Below are 16584 nucleotides of genomic sequence, written 5' to 3' on the forward strand. Positions count from 1 at the left end.
ATGTGAATATATGGGGAAACGAGAAGCAAACGAAGGTAAAATTAGAGGAAATCTCAACACTAACAGAAAGCTCAGGGGTACAAAGTTAGAATAAGATAGAAGGAATAAGTTCTGGTGTTTCATTGCACATTTGGGTGATGATGGTTAACAGTAAGCCACTGTATATTACAAAATAGCTTAGAAGAGAGACTTTTGAAGTTTCTCACAGCAAAGAAATGATAAATATATGAGTGATGGATAAGCTAAATATCTGATTTGATCATTATAAAACATATATATGTACACATTAAATTATATATACCTCATAAATATGTACAATTACAATGTGCAATATAAAAAAGAAAGAAGAAAAAGAAGCTCAGGTAAGTGGTCAGTAGCCAGGAGATCCATCTGCATAGAATGCTAAGGTAGTGTGGTCTCCAAACAGATAGGGTGCATCAGATGCAAAAATTATCTATTCCCAGGCATTCAGCTGTCCTACTCCAATGCTTCTTAGCTCTTTTCTGCTGAGCTTGATCCAAGCATCTAACCTGGGAGGTAAGTGGGAAGGAAGACATATGAGTAGGAAATAAGAACAGATCATGTATTTACAGCTACTACTTATAAATTCAGATATGGATGAGAAGGGAAGAGCGATGTGGAAATGGGGGGAAACCATTCTGAAGGACTTCAGTCAGGCACTATGTCCTTGGGGAAGACATCCTGGAATCCCTTGCGTAGGCTGGAGCCCCTCCTGCTGCTCTCACAGACTCCTTCTCTTCCACCTGCCATGACATCTACCACACCCAGTGGTGACTATCCATCTCCCATCCAGGCTGCAGCCACCTTGAAAACAAGCATGATGGCTTATTCACTTTTACATGCCCTATCTACAGCAGTTTTGCAACAAGGGCTTATCAAATGTCAACAATTACCTTTATCTTATCAAACCACAAGTTCCTTATAGACAGGAAGTACACTTTTATGATACTTCATAAGGATGATATTTCAGTTGATAAAGAAGATGAAGTAATGGCCTTTGTCCTCTTATGACTCATTCAAGCAATATCTAAGACCTTAGGTGTCTACAGTCATGCCAAAGAACTCCTCTTCTTGACACTAGAAGCATATTCCTCTTACTGACTATTTCTCAAAAAGTGCTTGTCTGTGTTTGAGACTAAGTTTCAAGAATTTGAGTCTTTTAAATGCATTCCTCTCAGCTCTGTTTTCTATAATGGGCTCTTGGTAGTTTTTCAAAGAGGTAATATCACATGGTGATTAAGAGGTTGGACTGATGAAACACATTACCAGAGTTGTAGCCCAGCTCCTTCTCTTATCATCTGGTGACCCAGGGCAAGTTACATAACCTATCCGTGCCTCTGTTTTTCCATCTGTAAATGGGAATCAAGGTGGTTTTGAGGATTATCTACAATACTGGCAATTTTTATAAGTACTGGAAACAGTGCCTGGCACATAGTAAGCTATATACGTTATACAAAAATTAGCTATTATATTTTGCTTCACCAGATGCCAACTGATTACTTTGATCAACAACTATAATATCCACAATATATTGGGGTCCCACCTCAAAACATTACTGCTCTAGCCCAAATTTTGGTAAGAGGGCATTTTGTTGTAAAAATAAGTAAATATGCTTAAAATGGGGGAAAACAAGCACATGTTAATATTTCTTCATTTGTCATGAAAATAAACCATAATAAACTTCCTGAATTTATCATACAAAATTCCAAGGATTTATCTGAAGAAACTAAAATTGAGGAAGGTATGTATCTTTTTGCCTTAATCATTTCCTAAGAAGTTACTAAACCTGAGGTCATTATTATTTATACAGGAAGAGAATCTCTTATACTTCTGGAAAATTTCAAAACATGGCCAACATGTTTTCTGATCATCACCACTTCCTGTGGTGGGGTTTAAAAACCATGCCAACTTTCATAACTGCTGAGATTTACAGAGTAAAGTCTCATTTGATAATCTTGCAAAATGGATAGGCAGAATTTCTCTTCCTTTTCTAAATGCCACATATGCCAGCTTTGCAGAGAGTTAAAAAAAAAAATTCCAACCAGCTCCAAGCCGGCTTCACGCAGGAGTACACACTATTCCTCAGCTCTGTCTCCAGCGTAGCCTGGGAAATCCCTCTTGCCTCATGATGTCTCCTAGATCTAGTTATTCCAGCCTGGAATCCCTCATACTAAAGGAAGAAAGGGTTTTCACTCCAGTCTCCTAGGTTCTGGCTAGTATCTCTGGTATCTAAATAATAAAAAATAGGAAAGAATTAATTCAAAAAATAAAATGTTCATTTGTCTAAAATAACAAAGGACTAAGATATAATTTCAAATGATTGTGAATAACTTTCTCAGAATTAGCCATTTTCAAAGATTTTGTAAATAAAATAAAATAACACATGGTACTAAAATCATGCTTGAACATAACTTGATTTTTCAAAGATGTGTGCTCTGCTTTATGATCGTCTCCAGAAAGAGCAGTCCTGGTTTAATAGGATCAGAATGTGTAGCCTATGGAGCCAGAATTAAATGGTTCAAAGCGTCCTTCCAAAGTTGCTTTTTAAATAAATCCTTGCTTATTTGTTTATTTTTAGCTTGCCATTTGTCACAAGTTGAGGGGGAAAACAAATTCCACTTATTTAAGATTTTTATTTTTTTCTGATTTTGTTTACATTGCTCATCCTGGCCTTTAAAAAATATCTTTTAAATTTTATCTGGCTCATTTTGACCTATTTATATCATGTGCTTATCCCCCATTTATAGCTGTGTTAATAGGCATAGACAAGCCAGTAGTATCTCCTTTGTAAAATAGCAAAAATAACTGCTTTTTTTTTTAGTCCAACCAGCTCACACTATTAGACATATAGAGCACATTTGAGTCAAAGTCCTCTTCCTCAGAAACCCTGTTGTTACCATGGGAAAACTGTAAAAATGCTCAAATGTGGGCATGTTATAATTAGAACCAAACGTGGGCTTTATGGGACCTGTCATGATGTTTCTAGGAAGCTAGTTCTGCGTTGGCTTCATAAGACATCCTTTTCCTACAGTCATGACTCACTCCTCCTTCTCCTCACTCACCCCCACTTGTTCTGGGGTGGAAGAATGCCCAAATGCTCCAGAGACAGATGCGTAGGCGGATGTCCAGTCCACTAACGAGAACACACTTCTAGGCATTGTGGAAGTGGGACAAAGGGTTTTGCTGGGCATATTCAGAGCCAACAATGTGATGGTTATATGTTTATCACACATGGAGAGACTCATTTCTTTGGCAACCAACCCTAGCCTACTCACTAATCCACCCAACCCCTCCCATCCCTCCCTCCTTTCTTCCTTTCAGGAAAGCGTGTGCAAGTTCTCCGCAAAATGATGAATCTCTGCTCCTCAGGGGAATGTACGAATCAGAAAAGCTTTTAAAAAGGAAAGAGGAACCAAAGCCTTTGCATAAGTAGGCCAGCTGCAGAGCCTTAAGAGAGAAGGGAGGGGAGAAATCTCCTTGCGGCCATGGCCCCAAACCTCCCGGCTGCCACTTGTCTCCATTGTCTTCCCACAACCCCAAACAAGTCAGCCCACACCTCCGTGACTGCACCCGCTGTCATTTTCAGGAAAAGAGATTTTCTGAGCCCATCTTGGCATTTCTGTGAAATCACAGAAATAATTCATTGAATCACAGAACTGAAAGAGATGATCTAATCACTTTTATTTTTAAGATGATGAGAATGCCACCAGGGGAGTTTCACTGACCTGTCCATGCTCGCACAGATCTGGAAACACAGAGCCAGAACTAGAGTCCGGATCTCCTTGTCCTACTCTTTCGTCTTTCTCACATGGGCTTGTAAAAGCAAATCGTTCTGTAGATACACTCTTTTCGCCTCAGTTCCCTGGCTAGGTTTCCTTTAAAGCTTGCTTCTTCTTCGCCTGGTGTGACGTATAACGGGCATACAGATGAGCTGAGGCTGATTATAAAGACTCATCTGTAGTAACTGTTAAAAATGGAGATTCCCAGGCCTTTCCCTGGGAGATTCTGGAATAAGGCTAAGGAATTGTTTAACCAGTTTCCTGCATGTGTTTTATGATAAAGCCAGTTGAGGGAATAATGTAGTAGAGGGACGCTGGAAAAAAAAAAAAAAAAAAAAGTATGTTTGACAGGCAGCGTGTCCCAATAAGAATAGAACAAGGGCATGGAGAGGACCAGGAATTTTGCCTTCTAGCTGCTTTTTCAGTGGGTTAACCACTAGACCACACTTCCTCTCTAGGAGAGGCAAGGGATTAAAATCAAAGGTTTGCCACTGATTCATGCTGCCTGCTAATGCTGCTTATTGCGCCATGCTGTGACCCTAAGCTCTCTGGCTTGGAAACAGATGTGGGGAGTGAGAGGCCTGAGGTACTGGGGGATGGAGGAGGCGGGGGAAGGCAGACGGCCAGGGAAAGAACTTCCTCTGCTGCAAAATTTCAGGCAGGAGTGGAAGTCAGTCTAAATTGTTACCATGCAGATCTGGAATCATTTTTGCAATCTCCTGGCTCCAATTCCAGGTTTGTGCATTCTGCAACAAGAACTGAAAACTTGTTAATTAATGCTCCTCGCCTGACTTTTGCCTCTGCCCTCGTCTGAATACATATTAATATTACACGTTTAGCTTGACAGTCATTTCATTAGGCAAGAGAGTTTGGTTACCCTCCTACTCTTGCCCCATTCTCTCCCCCGTGCACACTTTAAAAGGAAGTACAGAAGAGTTAAGCAATTTGACCAAGGTTACGCTGATCTCAATATTGTAGTAGTTTGAGTAAAAGTGTAACCGAGACATTTTCAACTAAGCTTTTCAGACTGCCTTCAATATATTCTTATCATTAGGCAACTGAAAAAATGTTTTGGATTTATTTTCTCCTATGTGATGAGTACATGACATGTCCTTGGGCCTGTAGTTTACCACGTCAATGTTTATCAAAAACATGTAGGCTTTGAGTGTTAAATATCAATTCTAGAAATAGTTTTTGTACCTTCTCTGCTCATCTGGAAGTTCCATGAAGGCAGGGTGGGAATTTCAGCCTTGGTTGTCACTAGATACTGCACATGCGGTAGTGCTTAATGGCCAGGGGGTATAAGAGCTGGATTTTAGGTCTGTAGGAACTAGAGTTCTCAGATTTAACAAAGAAAAAAGCAGGATGGCCAGTTTAATTTGAATTTTGGGTTTTAAAAATGTTAATATGAGCAAGTCTCATGCAATGTTTGGTAGATACTCATATTCAACAATCATTGGGTTGAAAAAATATGATAAGTTTAGTGTAGCTGGAGCATCTAGTCTGTGTGTATTTAGCAAGGGGGCAGGGTTGATCAACATCAAGAGGTAAGGTTTGAAGTTTTTATTGGGGGAGCCTTGTGAAGTGCCTTTATGCCATGCATATGTTGGTGGAGAGAGGAGCCAGCAAGAATTTTTCAGCTGAGTGGTATGATCATTGCTGTTTTTGAAAGATAATTCTGTGGCAGATTGGAGTGGGTAGAAATTGTAGGCAGGGGGACCAATTAGGAGGTTATTGAAATAGCCTGGGCAAGGAAGGATGAACTTATTTCAACTAAGGCAGTGGTGGTGGAAATAGTGAGAGAAATTACAGGGACATGTAGGTGATAGAATCAACAAACCTTGTTGATTGATTGCCTAAGGACAGTAACATAGAGGATGGAGTTAACATAGTGTAAATCTCCAGACAAACAATAGGCATTGTTTTTAATCTAATTGTCTATCTGTAGAATGGGCTGACAATACTGACTCTACTTACTTCATTAGGCTATTGTGAAGACCAATTAAGATCATTTACGTGAAAGTGTTTTTTGACTATAAAGTGCTATAAAATACACCGTTGTTAAGAGTATATGCATCTATCTCAGTAGACACTGAACTCTTTCAGGACAAAGATTACATTTTGTTCATCTTTGGTACCCCCAGCACCTAGCACACTGCCTTGAATGTATAGATCACCAACACATTTGGAGCATCAAACCAAATTTGAAATTCTACCCTGAAAAACCAAAGTAATAAACACAGTTTTTCAATGGATCTGGCTTGGTGAAACCTTCAACAAAATCAGGGCTACAAATTCCAGGAGAAATGCCCACTTAAGGAATGCTGATGCTGAAGACAATCTCTTTCTCTTTGTTCACAGACACACTAAACACTGACGGCCATCTTAGCTGCTCATCTAGCTTTCCCTCTTTGTATCCCTCCCATTATAAATTATTTAAAATCCTAAAGAAATAATCACTTATCAAGAGGTCAGGAGATCGAGACCATCCTGGCTAGCATGGTGAAATCCCATCTCTACTAAAAACACAAAAAAATTAGGTTAGCGTGGTGGCACACACCTGTAGTCCCAACTACTTGGGAGGCTGAGGCAGGAGAATCGCTTGAACTGTGTCTGAAAAAAAAAAAAAAATCACCTGACCTGTTTTAGATATCACCCTGGTAGTGTCTGGTAAGTCCCACTAGACTCTTGAGCTTAGCTTAGTTTAGGTGAGGAATACTCTGTCCTTTATCTCTGTATTTCTGTATCTACCACCAAGCCTACTCTGTGGTTGGTGCTCAATAATAATCTTATAAATAAAAAAAGATAATAATTTGCAAATTAAATACCACTCAAACTTTGAATATGTCCAAGTCTCTATTTTCAACCAAGCAAAAAACTTGTGAATTGTATTGCAAAATATAGGTACCACATTTTCAAATAATTTCATTGGAATTTTATCCTCTCATAATAAATTTATCTCTCTTGATCATTTTTCTTTTCTTTCCTTTTTCTTGTTGATTCTGTTTGCCATTTCTTACAATATTTTGATTCTAAGGATTTTTTTATACTTCCCTGTAACTTTTTTTATTCTATGTATAATCAAAACAATATCCAGAGAGACTGCCAAAAGCAGTCTTCCACTTCCATCAACTGGAAATTATTATATATGGGTATCATTATTATTATTATTGTTTATGGTTATCATTTATTGAGCACATATCATGGGACAATTATTATACTAGACGCTTTAGCTATATTATTTAATTTAAACATTAAGCAGTCATAAAACAGCTCCTACTACCCCCTTTTTATATATAAAAACCTGAGGCTTTAAAAATGTTAAGTAAGTTATTTCAGGTCAAAGAGTTTAAAGGTGACAGAGACAGTATTTAAGCCAGGCCTCACTGATTCTACAGTCATTTTCTCACTACTCAACCAATTACTCTCAAATTCTATCAGGCATCAGAGTCTCCTGGAGAGTTTTTTAAACTACAGATGGCTGTGTCTCCCCTCCAGAGTTTCTGATTCAGTCAAGCTGGATGGGACATAATTTATAGCGCTAACAAGTTCAACCAGGTGATGCTGATGCTGCTGATCCAGGGATCACACTTTAAGAATCAACAGACTAAACAGTACTGCCTAATATTGGCTCATTATTGATCACTAGTTCTATGACATAGACCTGAGCAGCGAGGATACAAAGATAAGTGAGGCACCAGACTGGGCAACGTAAGGAGAGTCCATCTCTACAAAAAAAATTTAAAAATTAGCCTGGTGTTGTGACGCATGTCTGTAGTTCATGCTAGTTGGGAGGCTGAGGCAGGAGGATTGCCTGAGCCCAAGAATTATAATTGCCCATTGCACTCCAGCCTGGGCAACAGAGCAAGACCCAGTCTCAAAAATAAATAAATAAATAAATAAGACGAGTGAAGCAGTTGTTTCTGCCCAAGAAGTTCCTACACACTCTGCTCATCTGGCTCATTGCAAAAAGTTCCTCAAGACTGCAACTTTTCAGATCAGCCACCCTCACAAGAACAGTTGCCTAGCAATGGCTGTTTTCACCAATGAGTTAACATCAGCTCCTGCAGCAGGTCCCTGTGGCCAATGACGTTTGTTTCAAAGCAGCTTATGTGTACTTCTTCTTTTTGCCTTTAAGAGTTTTTCCTTATCCCAGCCTCTCCAGACATGCCTATGATTTGTCATAACATGAGTTTTAACCCCCTGTTTATTCCCAATTGAATTCATTTCTATCGATAGGAATTCTCTCTGTTGTTATCTTAGATTGACACATATGAGTAAACAGAATATCAATAATATAAACATAGTAAGTTCTATGGAGCCATATGCAAGGGTGCTATGAAAACACTGAGTGGCAAGGTAGGAGGCAGCCAAAGAAGCCATGCTACCCAAAAGTAATCCTTAAACTGAATATTAAAGAATGATCAAGAGCTAGGGAAAGAGGAAAAAGGGAGAGGGTATTTTCCTTAATGGAAACAACATATGCAGAAACACAAAGACATTACATTTTTGGTGTACCAAGAAAACTACAAGTATTTTATTATGACTGGCACATAAGCAGTTGCAGAATATTAGAGAAAGTCTTACATGTGACCCTGAGTTTGAATTTTATACTTGAAGAAAGACCAGCCTTTTTTGTTGTATGGAGACTCCAGATGTGGGAACTAGAGTTACAGTAAGAAACGGGGGAATCAAGAGGGCATTTGAGTATCATAATTATCTGTGAGAAGGTCAATAAAAATTGATGAACCTCTAGCCAAATTGAGGATAAAAAGACAGAAGACAAAAATTACTGATAGTAGGATTGAGAGAGGGTATATCACTACAGATTGTACAGATATTAAAAGGGAAATGAGGAAATATTAGAATAATTTTAAGCCAATAAATTTGACTACTTAAATGAACTAGATATGTTCTTTGAAATACATACGCTAAAGCTCACTCAAGAGAAATAGATAAGCTGAATAGTCCTACATTTATTAAAGCACTTATATTTGTAGCTAAAAGCCTTTCCATAAAGAAAACGCTAAGCCAAGATCATTGGGGAATTCTACCAAATACTTAATAAAAAAAAAACTAATTCTATATAAAATCTTCCAGAAAATTGAAGATGAAATACTTCCCAATTTATTCTATAAGACCAGCATTGCCCTGATACCAAAATGAGGTAAAAGCATAAAGAAAACTACTCTCGATAATTCTCATTGGCACAAAATTAAGAAGATTGTATAAAATCAAGTCCAGCAATATATTTCAAATAATACATCCCAGGAATGCAAGCTTGGTTTAACGTCTGAAAATCAATCAATGTGATTAACCCTATAAACAGAATTTTTTAAAAGACTGCTCCAATACATCTATAAAAGCACTTAATAAACTCCAAAACACATACTTAATTAAAACTTTCAGAAAACTAGGTGTATTCATTTGTTCTTGCATTTTTATATAGAAATACCTGAGCCTGGGTAATTTATAAAGAAAAGAGGTTTAATTGGCTCACAGATCCACAGGCTGTACAGGAAGCATGATGCTGGCATTTGCTCAGCTTCTGGAGAGGCCTCAGGAAACTTTCAATCATGGCAGAAGGTCAAGGAAAAGTAGGCACATTTTACATGGCCAGAGCAGGAACAAGAGAGAGAAAGTGAGAAGTTGCTGCACACTTTTAAACAACCAGATGTCACAATAATTCACTCACTGTCATGAGAATAGCACCAAAGGGATGGTACTAAGTCATTCAAGGACCACCCCCATGATCCAATTACCTCCCATCAGGCCCCACCTCCAACATTACGGATTACAATTCAACATGAGATTTGGGTGGAGATACAGTTCGAAACCATATCACTAGGAATAGAGGAAATATTCCCAACCTGAAAGGGCAACTATGAAAAGTATATAGCTAACATACTTAATAGTATGAAATTGAATGCTTTTCCCCTAAGATAAGGAACAAAGCAAAAATGTCCATTCTTACCATTGCTATTCAATATTATACTGGAGTTTCTAGTCAGTACAATAAAGCAAGGAGAAAACACACATCCAGATTGGAAGGAAAGAAAGAACACTGTTTTCATTAATGCACAACATGATTACCTATAAAGAAAATCCCACAAAATCTACAGAAACACAACTAACACTAACAGGTAATTTTAGAAAAATTGCAGCATACAAGATCAAAATAAACAATGTCTGCTCCTTGGAACACACTGTTAAGATGTAAAGAAGAGTCACAGACTGGAATAAAATATTTGTTTCTTTTTTTATTTTTATTTTTTAAATTTTATTATTATACTTTAAGTTTTAGGGTACATGTGCACAATGTGCAGGTTAGTTACATATGTATACATGTGACACGCTGGTGTGCTGCACCCATTAATTCGTCATTTAGCATTAGGTATATCTCCTAAAGCTATCCCTGCCCCCTCTCCCCACCCCACAACAGTCCCCAGAGTGTGATGTTCCCCGTCCCGTGTCCATGTGTGCTCGTTGTTCAATTCCCACCTATGAGTGAGAATATGCGGTGTTTGGTTTTTTGTTCTTGCGATAGTTTACTGAGAATGATGATTTCCAATTTCATCCATGTCCCTACAAAGGACATGAACTCTTCATTTTTTATGGCTGCATAGTATTCCATGGTGTATATGTGCCACATTTTCTTAATCCAGTCTATCATTGATGGATATTTGGATTGGTTCTAAGTCTTTGCTATTGTGAATAGTGCTGCAATAAACATACGTGTGCATGTGTCTTTATAGCAGCACGATTTATAGTCCTTTGGGTATATACCCAGTAATGGGATGGCTGGGTCAAATGGTATTTCTACTTCTAGAACCCTGAGGAATCGCCACACTGACTTCCACAAGGGTTGAACTAGTTTACAGTCCCACCAACAGTGTAAAAGTGTTCCTATTTCTCCACATCCTCTCCAGCAACTGTTGTTTCCTGACTTTTTAATGACTGCCATTCTAACTGGTGTGAGACGGTATCTCATTGTGGTTTTGATTTGCATTTCTCTGATGGCCAGTGATGGTGAGCATTTTTTGATGTGTTTTTTGGCTGCATAAATGTCTTCTTTTGAGAAGTGTCTGTTCATGTCCTTCGCCCACTTTTTGATGGGGTTGTTTGTTTTTTTCTTGTAAATTTGTTTGAGTTCATTGTAGATTCTGGATATTAGCCCTTTGTCAGATGAGTAGGTTGCGAAAATTTTCTCCCATTTTGTAGGGTGCCTGTTCATTCTGATGGTAGGTTGCCTGTTCGCTCTGATGGTAGTTTCTTTTGCTGTGCAGAAGCTCTTTAGTTTAATTAGATCCCATTTGTCAATTTAGGCTTGTGTTGCCATTGCTTTTGGTGTTTTAGACATAAAGTCCTTGCCCATGCCTATGTCCTGAATGGTATTGCCTAGGTTTTCTTCTGGGGTTTTTATGGTTTTAGGTCTTATATTTAAGTCCTTAATCCATCTTGAATTAATTTTTGTATAAGGTGTAAGGAAGGGATCCAGTTTCAGCTTTCTACATAAGGCTAGCCAGTTTTCCCAGCACCATGTATTAAATAGGGAATCCTTTCCCCATTGCTTGTTTTTCTCAGGTTTGTCAAAGATCAGATAGTTGTAGATATGCGGTGTTATTTCTGAGGGCTCTGCTCTGTTCCATTTATCTATATCTCTGTTTTGGTACCAGTACCATGCTGTTTTGGTTACTGTAGCCTTGTAGTATAGTTTGAAGTCAGGTAGCATGATGCCTCCAGCTTTGTTCTTTTGGCTTAGGATTGACTTGGCAATGCGGGCTCTTTTTCGGTTCCATATGAACTTTAAAGTAGTTTTTTCCAATTTTGTGAAGAAAGTCATTGGTAGCTTTATGGGGATGGCATTGAATCTATAAATTACCTTGGGCAGTATGGCCATTTTCACCATATTGATTCTTCCTACCCATGAGCATGGAATGTTCTTCCATTTCTTTGTATCCTCTTTTATTTCATTGAGCAGTGGTTTGTAGTTCTCCTTGAAGAGGTCCTTCACATCCCTTGTAAGTTGGATTCCTAGGTATTTTATTCCCTTTGAAGCAATTGTGAATGGGAGTTCACTCATGATTTGGCTCTCTGTTTGTCTGTTATTGGTGTATAAGAATGCTTGTGATTTTTCTACATTGATTTTGTATCCTGAGACTTTGCTGAAGTTGCTTATCAGCTTAAGGAGATTTGGGGCTGAGACAATGGGGTTTTCTAGATACACAAACATATCACCTGCAAACAGGGACAATTTGACTTCCTCTTTTCCTAATTGAATACCCTTTATTTCCTTCTCCTGCCTAATTGCCCTGGCCAGAACTTCCAACACTATGTTGAATAGGAGTGGTGAGAGAGGGCATCCCTGTCTTGTGCCACTTTTCAAAGGGAATGCTTCCAGTTTTTGCCCATTCAGTATGATATTGGCTGTGGGTTTGTCATAGATAGCTCTTATTATTTTGAGATACATCCCATCAATACCTAATTTATTGAGAGTTTTTAGCATGAAGCGTTGTTGAATTTTGTCAAAGGCCTTTTCTGCATCTATTGAGATAATCATGTGGTTTTTGTCTTTGGTTCTGTTTATATGCTGGATTACATTTATTGATTTGCGTATATTGAACCAGCCTTGCATCCCAGGGATGAAGCCCACTTGATCACGGTGGATAAGCTTTTTGATGTGCTGCTGGATTCAGTTTGCCAGTATTTTATTGAGGATTTTTGCATCAATGTTCATCAAGGATATTGGTCTAAAATTCTCTTTTTTGGTTGTGTCTCTGTCCGGCTTTCGTATCAGGATGATGCTAGCCTCATAAAATGAGTTAGGGAGGATTCCCTCTTTTTCTATTGATTGGAATAGTTTCAGAAGGAATAGTACCAGTTCCTCCTTGTACCTCTGGTAGAATTCGGCTGTGAATCCATCTGGTCCTGGACTCTTTTTGGTTGGTAAGCTATTGATTATTGCCACAATTTCAGAGCCTGTTATTGGTCTATTCAGAGATTCAACTTCTTCCTGGTTTAGTCTTGGGAGGGTGTATGTGTCGAGGAATTTATCCATTTCTTCTAGATTTTCTAGTTTATTTGCATAGAGGTGTTTGTAGTATTCTCTGATGGTAGTTTGTATTTCTGTGGGATCGGTGGTAATATCCCTTTTATCATTTTTTATTGCATCTATTTGATTCTTCTCTCTTTTCTTCTTTATTAGTCTTGCTAGCAGTCTATCAATTTTGTTGATCCTTTCAAAAAACCAGCTCCTGGATTCATTAATTTTTTGAAGGGTTTTTTATGTCTCTATTTCCTTCAGTTCTGCTCTAATCTTAGTTATTTCTTGCCTTCTGCTAGCTTTTGAATTTGTTTGCTCTTGCTTCTCTAGTTCTTTTAATTGTGATGTTAGGGTGTCAATTTTGGATCTTTCCTGCTTTCTCTTGTGGGGCATTTAGTGCTATAAATTTCCCACTACACACTGCTTTGAATCTGTCCCAGAGATTCTGGTATGTTGTGTCTTTGTTCTCATTGGTTTCAAAGAACATCTTTATTTCTGCCTTCATTTTGTTATGTACCCAGTAGTCATTCAGGAGTAAGTTGTTCAGTTTCCATGTAGTTGAGCAGTTTTGAGTGAGTTTCTTAATCCTGAGTTCTAGTTTGATTGCACTGTGGTCTGAGAGACAGTTTGTTATAATTTCTGATCTTTTACATTTGCTGAGGAGAGCTTTACTTCCAACTGTGTGGTCAATTTTGGAATAGGTGTGGTGTGGTGCTGAAAAAAATGTATATTCTGTTGATTTGGGGTGGAGAGTTCTGTAGATGTCTATTAGGTCCACTTGGTGCAGAGCTGAGTTCAATTCCTGGGTATCCTTGTTAACTTTCTGTCTCATTGATCGGTCTAATATTGACAGTGGGGTGTTAAAGTCTCCCATTATTATTGTGTGGGAGTCTAAGTCTCTTTGTAGGTCACTCAGGACTTGCTTTATGAATCTGGGTGCTCCTGTATTGGGTGCATATATATTTAGGATAGTTAGCTCTTCTTGTTGAACTAATCCCTTTACCATTATGTAATGGCCTTCTTTGTCTCTTTTGATCTTTATTGGTTTAAAGTCTGTTTTATCAGAGACTAGGATTGCAACCCCTGCCTTTTTTGTTTTCCATTTGCTTGGTAGATCTTCCTCCATCCTTTTATTTTGAGCCTATATTTGTCTCTGCACGTGAGATGGGGTTCCTGAATACAGCACACTGATGGGTCTTGACTCTTTATCCAATTTGCCAGTCTGTGTCTTTTAATTGGAGCATTTAGTCCATTTACATTTAAAGTTAATATTGTTATGTGTGAATTTGATCCTGTCATGATGATGTTAGCTGGTTATTTTGCTTGTTAGTTGATGCAGTTTCTCCCTAGCCTCGATGGTCTTTACAATTTGGCACGATTTTGCAGCGGCTGGTACCGGTTGTTCCTTTCCATGTTTAGTGCTTCCTTCAGGAGCTCTTTTAGGGCAGGCCTGGTGGTGACAAAATCTCTCAGCATTTGCTTGTCTGTAAAGTATTTTATTTCTCCTTCACTTATGAAGCTTAGTTTGGCTGGATATGAAATTCTGGGTTGAAAATTCTTTTCTTTAAGTTGAATATTGGCGCCCACTCTCTTCTGGCTTGTAGAGTTTCTGCCGAGAGATCCACTGTTAGTCTGACGGGCTTCCCTTTGTGGGTAACCTGACCTTTCTCTCTGGCTGCCCTTAACATTTTTTCCTTCATTTCAACTTTGGTGAATCTGACAATTATGTGTCTTGGAGTTGCTCTTCTCGAGGAGCATCTTTGTGGCGTTCTCTATATTTCCTGAATCTGAATGTTGGCCTGCCTTGCTAGATTGGGGAAGTTCTCCTGGATAATATCCTGCAGAGTGTTTTCCAACTTGGTTCCATTCTCCCTGTCACTTTCAGGTACACCAATCAGACGTAGATTTGGTCTTTTCACATAGTCCCATATTTCTTGGAGACTTTGTTCGTTTCTTTTTATTCTTTTTTCTCTAAACTTCCCTTCTCACTTCATTTCATTCATTTCATCTTCCATCACTGATACCCTTTCTTCCAGTTGATCGCATTGGCTCCTGAGGCTTCTGTATTCTTCACGTAGTTCTCGAGCCTTGGCTTTCAGCTCCATCAGCTCCTTTAAGCACTTCTCTGTATTGGTTATTCTAGTTATACATTCGTCTAAATTTTTTTCAAACTTTTCAACTTCTTTGCCTTTGGTTTGAATTTCCTTCTGTAGCTCGGAGTAGTTTGATCGTCTGAAGCCTTCTTCTCTCAACTCGTCAAAGTCATTCTCCATCCAGCTTTGTTCCGTTGCTGGTGAGGAGCTGCGTTCCTTTGGAGGAGGAGAGGCGCTCTGATTTTTAGAGTTTCCAGTTTTTCTGCTCTGTTTTTTCCCCATCTTTGTGGTTTTATCTACTTTTGGTCTTTGATGATGGTGATGTACAGATGGGTTTTTGGTGTGGATGTCCTTTCTGTTTGTTAGTTTTCCTTCTAACAGATGGGACCCTCAGCTGCAGGTCTGTTGGAGTTTGCTAGAGGTCCACTCCAGACCCTGTTTGCCTGGGTACCAGCAGCGGTGGCTGCAAAACAGCAGATTTTCGTGAACTGCAAATGCTGCTGTCTGATTGTTCCTCTGGAAGTTTTGTCTCAGAGGAGTACCCGGCCATGTGAGGTGTCAGTCTGCCCCTACTGGGGGGTGCCTCCCAGTTAGGCTGCTCAGGGGTCAGGAGTCAGGGACCCACTTGAGGAGGCAGTCTGCCTGTTCTCAGATCTCCAGCTGCGTGCTGGGAGAACCACTGCTCTCTCAAAGCTGTCAGACAGGGACATTTAAGTCTGCAGAGGTTGCTGCTGTCTTTTTGTCTATGCCCTGCCCCCAGAGGTGGAGCCTACAGAGGCAGGCAGGCCTCCTTGAGCTGTGGTGGGCTCCACCCAGTTGGAGCTTCCCCCGCTGCTTTGTTTACCTAAGCAAGCCTAGGCAATGGCGGGCTCCCCTCCCCCAGCCTCGCTGCAGCCTTGCAGTTTGATCTCAGACTGCTGTGCTACCAATCAGTGAGACTCCATGGTCATAGGACCCTCCGATCCAGGTGCAGGATATAATCTCCTGGTACGCCGTTTTTTAAGCCCATCGGAAAAGCGCAGTATTGGGGTGGGAGTGACCCGATTTTCCAGGTGCCGTCTGTCCCCCGTTTCTTTGACTAGGAAAGGGAACTCCCTGACCCCTTGTGCTTCCCGAGTGAGGCAATGCCTCGCCCTCCTTCGGCTTGCGCACGGTGCACTGCACCCACTGTCCTGCGCCCACTGTCTGGCACTCCCTAGTGAGATGAACCCAGTACCTCAGATGGAAATGCAGAAATCACCCGTCTTCTACGTCGCTCACGCTGGGAGCTGTAGACCGGAGCTGTTCCTATTCAGCCATCTTGGCTCCAGCCTGGAATAAAATATTTGTAAATCACATGTCTGATAAAGGAAAATCCGATAAATTTCTATAGAAATGTATTATATTATTAAGTGATTGTAATGGATAATTGAAAATTGAAATAGGAAATACAATTTACAATAGCATCAAGAATAAGAACGTGACAGAAGATGTATATGAACAGTACACTAAAAATTACAAAATATTTCTGAAAGAAATTAAAGAAGACATAAACCAATGAAGAGCAATAGCGTGTTCTTGGACCAGAAGATTCATTTTTGTTAAGATGTCAACTCTCTCCAAATTGATCTATCATTTCCATGCAATCTCAATCAAAATCTCAGCAGGC

The 16584-nt window shown here is 39.4% G+C and overlaps 2 annotated features.

The window, feature by feature from the left end:
• Window positions 3416-3465: an enhancer, noted in NCBI's record as "active region_9199". NCBI's record gives its function as "activates an Ori minimal core promoter by ATAC-STARR-seq in GM12878 lymphoblastoid cells {active_cell/tissue: GM12878}" and the evidence as "EXISTENCE:reporter gene assay evidence [ECO:0000049][PMID:35858748]".
• Window positions 3596-3725: an enhancer, noted in NCBI's record as "active region_9200". NCBI's record gives its function as "activates an Ori minimal core promoter by ATAC-STARR-seq in GM12878 lymphoblastoid cells {active_cell/tissue: GM12878}" and the evidence as "EXISTENCE:reporter gene assay evidence [ECO:0000049][PMID:35858748]".

The sequence above is a fragment of the Homo sapiens genome, chromosome 15 (assembly GCF_000001405.40).
Source record: "Homo sapiens chromosome 15, GRCh38.p14 Primary Assembly".
NCBI classification, from domain to species: domain Eukaryota; kingdom Metazoa; phylum Chordata; class Mammalia; order Primates; family Hominidae; genus Homo; species Homo sapiens.